General features: G+C 42.7%; 1 protein-coding gene across 19 annotated transcripts in view, besides 2 other annotated features; it reads left to right on the top strand.

Moving 5' to 3' along the window:
- Positions 1 to 1,699: 1,699 nt before the first annotated feature.
- Positions 1,700 to 10,206, top strand: part of SLC41A2 (solute carrier family 41 member 2) — a 156,946-nt gene continuing 148,439 nt past the window's right edge. For 7 of the 19 annotated variants that reach the window (NM_001352171.3, NM_001387130.1, NM_032148.6 and 4 more), the window contains exon 1: positions 2,156 to 2,358. The gene's annotated coding sequence lies outside the window, so the exon portion shown is untranslated. Of the gene's footprint in view, positions 1,857 to 2,155; positions 2,416 to 5,456; positions 8,956 to 10,206 lie in introns of those variants that run through there. The other 12 variants (NM_001352172.3, NM_001387129.1, NM_001352170.3 and 9 more) reach the window with 6 other exon arrangements.
- Positions 1,978 to 2,247: a silencer, noted in NCBI's record as "silent region_4800". NCBI's record gives its function as "represses an Ori minimal core promoter by ATAC-STARR-seq in GM12878 lymphoblastoid cells {active_cell/tissue: GM12878}" and the evidence as "EXISTENCE:reporter gene assay evidence [ECO:0000049][PMID:35858748]".
- Positions 2,438 to 2,767: a silencer, noted in NCBI's record as "silent region_4799". NCBI's record gives its function as "represses an Ori minimal core promoter by ATAC-STARR-seq in GM12878 lymphoblastoid cells {active_cell/tissue: GM12878}" and the evidence as "EXISTENCE:reporter gene assay evidence [ECO:0000049][PMID:35858748]".

Here is a 10,206-nt window from a genome sequence, read left to right as displayed (position 1 = left end):
AGTCTAAGCACAGTGGCCTTTTCCCAAAGCCTTCACAGACAGAGCCTCTTCCTACCAAAGGGCCTTCAAACCTGCAGTTTCCACAGCTAAATGCACTGCCCACCCCACCCCCTTCTCTATGTTGCCTGCCCTAACTCCTCCTTATTCTTCAAGGCTGAGATTAAATGTCACTTCCTCCAGGAGATCTTTCTTACCCCCTAGCACAGACACGCTCCTTTGTTATACACTCTCATAACTCTCAGGCTTTTTTCCAGCAATCACAACAGCATCACCACACAGCCTCAAGTCCAAGCCACTTGCTTCACATTTGAAGTTGCCAGCTGTCAGACGGGAGATGAAGTAGAAATGGGATTGTTGTTGTCTGCACCCATTAGGACCCAGTTTTTTACAAGGGGGCATTTCCTCGCCCGATTCCAATGTGAGTTATTTTCAGGGCTGAAATTTGATTTAAATTTGGATTCCAACTTGAAGCTTAACATATCTCCAAAGTACACACTACTTTGCGGTACTGAATGAAGAATGTAAGTAGAAGGTTGCCTGCCACATGCCATGTAATGCTCTGAAGGACGGTAGAAACCACCAGCTCTCTCAGAAAAAAATGGTGGAAGAATTTTCAAAACCAAGACAGGCTGGCTTCTGTATATGCTTTGTGTAGAAATCTTGAAAGACTACACACTCAGGGGAGGAACACATATTGGGTGGAACTTCTGCCAAACTTTCAAGAGCAGCTACTTTCTAATGATCTGTAATTCAAAAAACAACCAGAACAAAAACCAGCTGGAAATGCAGTCAAAACACTGCTTTTCCATATTCCTTGCAATTATACTTTCATTTTTAGGTGGTGAGGAACACCAGGATGAGTCATTATAAAAAGCATGACTGCAGATGGCCAAGAGTGATACCGAAGCACCCTTCACCCTGAAGGTTAAGGTTAAAGCTCAAAGTCTGATCGCAAAGCATAAGGAAAAAAAAAAAGAACATGGATAAATGTATGCTGGTGTCCTTCAGCACCAGAAAAGCTGCTACTAAATCACTGGTGTGGCTTGGAATTGGTAGAAGCTTTGATTTGAGGAAAAGAGTATCATTAGCTGTGTAATTTTGAGTTGTTGTTTTAGAGACAAGGTCTCATTTTGTGGCCCAGACTGGAGTGCAGTGATGCGATCATAGCCCGCTGCAGCCTTGAACTCCTGGGCTCAGGCGATCCTCCCACCTCAGTCTCCTAGCCACTCCAGGTCTCGCTGTGTTTGCCCAGGCTGGTCTCAAATTCCTGGCCTCAAGCGATCCTCTCGCCTGGTCCTCCCGAAGTGTTGAGGTTACACGCATGAGCCACCAATCCTGGCATTATGGCATTAGCTGTGTAATTTTTAAAATAACTGTCTTCGGACCAACACCTTTCTTTTGTTCACTGGAGTATCCCTGGGGTGTGTCTCATTCCCTGAATCATACACAGTAGATGCTCAATAGTTTTGTAAATAAAATAAATGAGCTCTCGGATTTACATGCAGACTTTGGATCAGTTTGATCTAGGTTTAAAAGCAAGTGTGGGGAAACTTGAAAAGCCTGGCACCCCAGCCAACTCTTCAGCGCCCCATGCGCTTGGCGCCTACACCTGCCTGGCACGGGGAGGGTGCTATGGGGCTGCCCTAAACCTCACCCCCTCCTGCGGTGGTTCCTGCCCGTCTCGGCTCCTGCACCGCCCACACTATGCGCTGCTGGGCCGAAAGACACGTGGTTCGGTTTTAACTCCAGTCTGCAAGAAACATGACCTCAGCCAAAAAGAGGCCGCTGGTCTGAGAAGAGAAATCATGAGTCATGGATTCGGGGGTTCGGACCTTGGAGCAGGCGGTGAAGTGGGCGTGCGTGGGCTGGTGGGGAAGAGGGATGCCGAAGGAGGCCACAGCCCTTCTCTCCTGGGCAGGCTCCCCAGAAAACTGCCCCCTTGCCGTCATCCAGCGCCCCCGTTCCCGACAGCTGTCTGCCAGGGCGCGGCCGGGGTCCGGGCGGGGCGGTGCTGTCGCTCCGGGTCGCCGCCCCGCGGGCCACATCACCAAGGCCCGGGCTTCCCCGGCGGCGGCGCGGCTGCGCTTGCGCGGGGCTGCCGCGCGGGGGCGGGGCGGCGGGGAGTCAGGGGGCCGCGGGCGCCGACGGCCGGGCTGTCAGCTTGGGGCCGCAGCCGCGCGAGGAGGCGCGGGAGCAGGAAGGAGCTGTGGGCTGGGAGCCGCTGTCCTCCCCGCCACCACCGGTGCCGGGCACCAGGTGAATGCCCCTTCCATCCCCCGCCCCTGGTGTCTCGGTCTGGTCTGAGGAGACGGGGACCCTTCTCACACCGGCCGCTGCCGCCGCCGCGCTCCGGAACAGGTGACCATGGAGGGGAAGTCTCGGCTTCGGCCGCGGCGCCGCGTTCGGGCGCATCAGGTGCGGGAGGGAGGTGGGGCCGAGAGGCCTGGGCTCGGGACCCGGCGGCGGGGGCGCGGGGAGCAGAGGGAGCGGCCCCGCCCGAGCAGCCGTGCCCCCTGCGGACGCCTCTCCGGGCCGCCGGGCAGCGCCCGAGCCCAGGCCCCCGCGCCTGCCCCACCTCGGGCTGAGGGAAGCTGTTCCGCGGCCACCGCGGACAAGCGGTCCCGGGCGCCCAAGGCAGGGACAGGCGGCGGGTGGTGTATGAGTGATGGCTGAAGGTGAGCTGGGATGGAGATGCTGCGAGGCTGGCTCGGGCACACCCCAGATGCCTGTTCAGGGCTCCGCGAGTGCCCCGTCACCCTTTTCTTTCATTCTTCTCTTTATATACACGGAGCATATCTCAAATTTAAAAGCCCAAATGCTCATTTACAGAGAGAGATGACACATATCTATGTGTTACCGATATACATTGATGTGTATATTACGTATATATGTCATCTTTTTTTTGTAGTGACAATTTTTAAATTGAGATATACATCACATGCCATAAAACTCATTCTTCTAAAGTGTGGCTTTTAATATATTCACAGAGTTTTCCAAATATGACCACTATCCAGATCATCATCCCCAAAAGAAACCCTGTCTCTCTTAGTAATCACTCCTCATTTCCCCTTGACCCCACCCCACTAGCCACCACTAATCTACTTTCTGTTTATATGGGTTTGCCTGTTGTGGAAATCTCATATAAATGGAAGCGTACAATATGTGGCTTTTTGTGTCTGGCGTCGAAAGACATACTGTAATGTTTTCAAGTTTCACTCATGTAGTATGTATCAGTACTTTACTTTTTATAGCATATTAATATTGTTGTATCAGTGTACCACATTTGTTTATTCATCAGTTGATGTACATTTGGGTTGTTTCCAGTTTTTGGCCATTGTGTGTAATGCTGCTATGCACATTTGTTTACACGTTTTTGTGGACATGTGTTTTCAGTGCTCTTGGGTATATACCTAGGAGGGCAATTGCTCCGTGTTTCACTTTTTGAGGAACTGCCAAGCAAAGCAGCTGTACCATTTTACTTTCCCACTAAGCAGTGTATGAGGGTTCCGATTTCTTCACATCTTCCCCAAGGCTTGTTACTTTTTTACTGGTTATTTTTTATGATAGCCATCGTAGTGAGTGTGGAATGGTATCTCTTTGTGGTTTTGATTTGCATTTCTCTAATGATTGGGGATGCTGAGCATCTTTTCATGTGCTTATTGGCCATTCATATATTTTCTTTGGAGAAAATGTTCATATCTTTTACCCATATTTTAATTGGGTTGCTTGGCTTTTTATTTTTATTTATTTATTTATTTATTTATTTGGAGACTGACTCTCAGTCTGTCACCCAGGCTGGAGTGCAGTGGCACAATCTTGGCTCACTGCAACCTCCACCTCCGGGGTTCAAGCGATTCTCCTGCCTCAGCCTCCCAAGTAGCTGGGACTACAGGCACACACCACTATGCCCGGCTAATTTTTGTATTTTTAGTAGAGACGTGGTTTCACCATGTTGGCCAGGTTGGTCTCCAACTCCTGAATTCAAGTGATCTGCCCACCTCGGCTTCCCAAAGTGCTGGGATTACAGGCATAAGCCACCACGGCCAGTCTGGGTTGCTTAGCTTTTTATTGAGTTTTATTGTTCATTTATGGAAAAAAATTTCTGTTAATAGGTTTGGATACTGGCACTGACTTGAAAAAATCCAACCAATCTGATACCGAAAAACTTAATGCTTATTCTTGGGTAAAGGTTGAATAAGTGCCACTTCATTCTTTAAGAATACCCTACCTGTTCATTCTGGACATCTTACTGACCCCTTTACATTTACTGCCCTGGTATTTTGAGCAAAGCTACAGAAGGCATATTCCTGACTGGAGTCAAGAGAGACCACCCTTAATTGGTATTTTCATATATTCTATGCTCAATTTGAAAATCCCAGTTATCACTTTAATTACAAAAAATTTATATTAGTGGCCAGCTGAACAAACTAACAATAAATGGCAAGCACAAATCACTCAAAAATTTATGTTTAACTTCTCAGTAAAGTGGAGAATCTTGTTTTCTTAAGTTTGTGCAGTGTAGTTTTTATTACAATTATGTTCATGTGTGGGTGGTAAATAAATATTTTTGATGGCACTAAAGTTAAGAGCCACTTACAGCTAAATGAATGCTGCTGTGCTTATTTCATGGTTAATTTCCGAGCGCACACAAATTCAGCATCAGGTCTTTCATGGCCAAAAAAAAAAAAACCACTAAAAAGACCTGATGTTACCTCCCAGGAATTCAAACTCAATTTTCCACTGATCTAATATGATTGTTGTTAAAGAAAAAGATTATTCGATGATACTTGTTAAAATGTGGTAAAAAAAAGTCTATTCAGGACCATTGTGATAGGTAAAGGGACCATGGAATGGGATTTTGCAGTTTGGGAGGAAGACTAGGCTCAATTCTGAATACGGTGTGGGCAAATGGGAATTTATAGCCAAGGAGCAGTGTCATGGTCAGTGGACAGAAAAGTACTGAGAGGAAACACCGGGGGTAGTGGATATTCAGACCAAACCAACCTAACAGGATTCTTGCTGAAGACAGGCCAGAGTGATCAGACACCACCTGGGGGACAGTGGAAGCTGAGGAACCTAATCAGGTTGTGAGGGTAATCAGGTAGCGAGGGTAATCAGAAAGCGAGGGCCAGCTGGGTGCAGTGGTTCATGCTTGTAATCCCAGCACTTTGGGAGGCTGAGGCGGGCAGATCACCTGAGGTTGGGAGTTCGAGACCAGACTGGCCAACATGGTGAAACCCTGTCTCTCCTAAAAATACAAAAATTAGCCTGGTGTGCTGGCGGGCACCTGTAATCCCAGCTTCTCAGAAGGCTGAGGCAGGAGAATTGCTTGAACCCAGGAGGTGGTGGAAGTTGCAGTGAACCGAGATCACGCCACTGCACAGAGCAAAACTTCGTCTTAACTCAAAAAAAAAAAAAAAAAAAAAAAAGCAAGGGCCAAGAGTCAGGGGCTGTTGCTAAACTCACTTGACGAGGTTCTTTGATAAAACTGCATTTTACAAGGAAGTGCACAAATGGGCCTAGAAGGTTCAGGGGCCTGAGTAAAATTTCGTCAAGAAAAGAATCTTTCTCATTGTTGGAAAGTACACTTCCCAATTTCCAAAACTTTATAGAAAATACAAGTAAAGGTTTCCAAATGGAAATAATAGATAAGCAACTGATAAAAAGCATGTGAAGCATAGCCTAACTCTGCTTCAACCTATACATTACAAAATGATGGATATATGAATTAACCCTTTTATGCCACTGCCTTTATTTAGAAGAATGAGGCTGGTAATTTCGGGTTTATAACCCAAAATGTGTTTTTACTTTGTTTTAACTAATGAAATTATTATCAAACGTATTGAAAATATAAACTATCCAACCTAATATTGATTGTTACCAACTTACCCAATGGATATACAAATATCCTGCAGCTACAGATGTTTTCTCTGCCCGCTGGGGTTTTTAGTGGCGCTTATTGGGAAGGACTGAAAGTAGAGGGCAGTGACAATTGGGAATCGCTATGGAGATATCCCTGAGAAGTGATGGTCACAGCTGACCTGTCTCCTTTATGGTAGATGAGGGTAGGGACACTTTTTCTTCTCTCTGAACGTACTGCAGTTAGATTTATTTAGCTTAAAAATAACAAATACAGAAATATTTAGATGGAAATGACTAGAACTGTCAGTTATTCTATTTTAATGTGAATGGATTTAATCAGATTGCTTTCTTCTTGGTTAGCTACACTAAGGAAGTGGGAGTTTTGACTTGAGGAGGGATAGTAGATGTAAGTATTATGAGATCGTGGAACATTTTGGAATATTGGGCAAAGTTTGCCCTACTTCTAAAAGTGAGGATGTTAAAAAATGGAAAGCTTTAGATAGCATGAGGGATCTGAAAGATGAGAAAAGAAAAGCAAGAATGAAACAATTTGGAAGGAAAGATTGTAGGATATAAAGACAGATTCGACTTATTTAGACATTTTTGCCCAAGAAAAATGTCTAAATAGGAAAAGTGGAAACCTTTTCCTTCATTTGATCCCTCTTTCCTTTTGCCCCACCTTGCTGCTCCATGCTAACTGTTCTCCTAGGACCCAGAAATCAGACTGGGATTACTGTTGTTCATGTTGAAGCTTTCAAGTGTGCTAGTTACACCCCTTCTCTCTCCATATTCTAGTCAAATTGAGATCAGACTCAAGCCAGATAAGAATTTAAATACTATTAAAATAATAGTGTAATTTTCATTTCCGGTAAAGCTGGATTGGAGAACTGAGCTTAGACCCATGCTTACTGTTCTTTCTTAATTTACCTACCCAGATGAAACTGTTGCACCAGGAAATGGAAGGGAAAGTCCTGTCCTAAGGAGCTTATCTTATAGCAGTTAGAATGGAAAGGAAAACTTTCTCTCCTTGAGGGCACAGCAAGTCCAAGAAAGCCAGTGAGAGCTCACGGGTGGAGCCTGTCTGAACAGTTGACCTTTATACCTATCCTAGCAATTAGATAAGTCACTTTCCTGTGGGAGGAATTAGTGATGGGGGTGGAGAGAAAGAAAAGTGTTCCTTTAATCTTGTTTTCTCCTACTTAGAGGAGTGAAAGTTCTGTTGTCATTGCAGAGAGAAGTAAACAGCCATCCTCTCATAGTTAAGTATGTTATGGGAAATAAATAGTGTTTTGTAGGCTAGCCTAGGAACTAATTCACCATTTATAAAAATGAACTGACTGTATATTTTCCTTGGAAATAACTAAATCTCTTAGACACTTTTGAGTGATTATTTTATTGTGTAGTTAAATATATAGATTATTCAAGTCTATTTCCTTGTTTTACCAGTACTGGTTAAATATTTATGGAATGTCTAATACGTGACAGGCACTGGGCTAGGCTTTGGGATTCAGTGGTGAACAAGAATGGGTCCTTGCTCTAAGAGTTACAACCTAGAAAAACAGTTAGTACAAGTACCATTACGATAAAGCGTAATAAGCATTGGTTAAGTGTAGAGTGCTTTGGAACCACAGAAGAAGGAGAACTTATCTATGAGGGCCAGGGACATGGATGTTAAAGAGCTGAGATCTTAAGCTGAATAGGAAGTAGCTAGGTAAAAGGGAAGAGTGAGGTTGAGCAGAAGTGTTTTGAGCAAAAAGAACATGTGGAAAGGCCAAGAGGTGTGAGAATGTGGTACACTAAAGTGACATTTTTTTTCTTTAACTGCAGGCACCTACTAGTAGATTGTGAAAGCAAATTAGTGAGTTGTAATCCACATGTTTTTTAAAAGGAATACAATAGAAAATGAGGGTGTGCCACTCATAGATACTTACTGGATTGTAGGGGTAAGTAGGGGTGTTTATGCAGGATTTAGTTAACCTTATTAAAGAAGTTGGATTTATCTTAGAGGAAATGACAAATCATTGAAAAGTTCTAATCGGGGCCTGATTAGAGATCTTTAGAAAAAGGTCTCTTTGGGTACCTGGTCTTTCTTAACTCGGATGTAAACTTCAAATTCATTGGCCCAGCATTACAGGTATTCCAAAACCTGGTTCCAATCTATTTCTTGTAAAAAATCTTCCCACTATTTTTGTTATTGGAATTTCCCAGTTCATAAAGATTCGTTCGCCTAAGTACCTTTGCACCAAGACCAAAAGGTCTGTGAGAACAGATTTCACTTCTGTCCTTTAACATTGAGTCTCTGGCAACTAGTATAGTGCCTGGCTCACAATAGAGACTAAGCAAATCTTCGTTGATAGAGTCTAAATACCTTTAATATTAGGAACATTATGCAGTAGTAGACATGACGTTGCTGTTTCTGGTAATGTCTGCTTTGGGACAAAGAAAAAGTTTTCATTCAAATTTTTTTTCTCAGTTGAAATCATGTTAATGATAGAACTGCATACATTTATTAAAAAGATAATTTAACAGAGGGCATTCTTACATTGAAACAGTAGTAGAGATAATAAAAAGAACAATAAACATTGTGGTTTTGATGTTTTCCCAGGGAGTACAGTGACACAGATTGCTCACAGGAGCAGCCAATCCAGAAATCATTTCTGTTTTGTTTGAACTTAGAGGCATTCTCTGAGCACTCACCCAAAGGCAGTGTTAGAAAAATGGCTAAGGACAAAAGGAATAAATTATTAGGTTGGTGCAAAAGTAAGTGCAGTTTTTGCAATTAAAAGTAATGACAAAAACTGCAATTACTTTTGCACCAACCTAAATGGATGAAAATATATCAATCATATGAGCTTAATGAAGAATCAACAGAAAATAGATTTTGTTCTTACAAATGAAAATAGAACATCCATATACCCTAAAGAATTTACAAATAAGAATTTAATGATGTCAGTTTGTTGCCAGAGCATGATTCTACTGTCACAGTATTATGACTTCACAGAATTAAATTGTGAAACCCAACCATAAAGGAAAAATTCTTTCAGTGTTTGGTTCCGATCAGTGGTAAAAGAAGTTACGAACAGTTCATAAAAGGTAAGGAGATTTCAGTTCTGATTCAAATTTATCTTACTAAATTTTTGATTTGTGAAAAATTTTGCTCGTTAGTTTTTAAGTTAGGGTTTATGTATCTTAAACTGGAATGCCAAAATCAAATTTTGCTAATATGAGATGGCTTTTAAAAAGCACTCAGAGAATTTTATCTTTTTATATTCCACAGAGTCTTAATTTAAGTAGTACATTGTAGAACTAAATGGAAACTGTTAACTTGTATAAGTTTATCCTAAGGAAATAACTCTAAATATGGGAAAGTATTAGGCACAGAGATATTCATTTTCATTGCAATGTAATTTAGCCAAATAATGTCCTGCTATAGGGAAATTATTTACTAAAATATGGGAATCCATTTGAAAAAGTTTAACCATTAAAAATACTTTTTTAGAGCAATAGTTTCTTCCTGTTAATTACTTTTTAAATTAAAAAGTAAAAAGTACTCAAACAAAAGTTCAAATAATATAAAAATATGTAGAATCAAAAAAAGTGAAAATGATATTTCAATCTTGCTTTCTATTACTGCTTACCCCTCCCCCAGCCACCTCAATCTAGGCATACCCAGTTCCTTAGAGGTAAATGCTTTGAGCACTTTGTTATTAGCCTTGCAGATCTTTTTCTAATCCAGTGGTTTTTAAACCGAGAAGGAGTTTCAGGGTCTTCTCAAGTTGGGTAATATGGGGACCCAGTGGGTGGAAACCAGGGTGCTTCAATGGGTACTGCTTTGCTTTTACAAAACTGTTTTATATATTGGGATTTCACATAGGGTTTAATTTAAATAAAGGGTTCCTCTGCATTAAAAATAAAGGCTTAGCCAGCCACAGTTCCTGTAGTCCCAGCTATCTCAGGAGACTGAGGTGGTAGGGTGGCTTCAGTTCAGGAGTTCGTGACCAGCCTGGGAAAAGTAGTGAGACTGTGTTAGTCCGTTCTCACAGTGCTATAAAGAAATACCCAAGACTGGCTGATTTATAAAGGAAAGAGGTTTAATTGACTCACAGTTCCACATGGGGAGGCCTCAGGAAACTTACAGTCATGGCGGAAGGCGAAGGGGAAGCAAAGACCTTCTTCACATGGCAACAGGAGAGAGAGAAGTGTGAGGAGTGAAGGCAGAACAGTCCCTTATAAAACCATCAGATCTCATGAGAATTCACTCAAAATCATGAGAACAGCGTGGGGGAATCCAACCCCATGATCCAACCACCTCCTACCAGGTCTCTTCCTAGACACGTGGAGATT

Source organism: Homo sapiens, chromosome 12 (genome assembly GCF_000001405.40).
Source record: "Homo sapiens chromosome 12, GRCh38.p14 Primary Assembly".
Taxonomy (NCBI): domain Eukaryota; kingdom Metazoa; phylum Chordata; class Mammalia; order Primates; family Hominidae; genus Homo; species Homo sapiens.
This window is presented reverse-complemented; position numbering and strand designations above follow the sequence as displayed.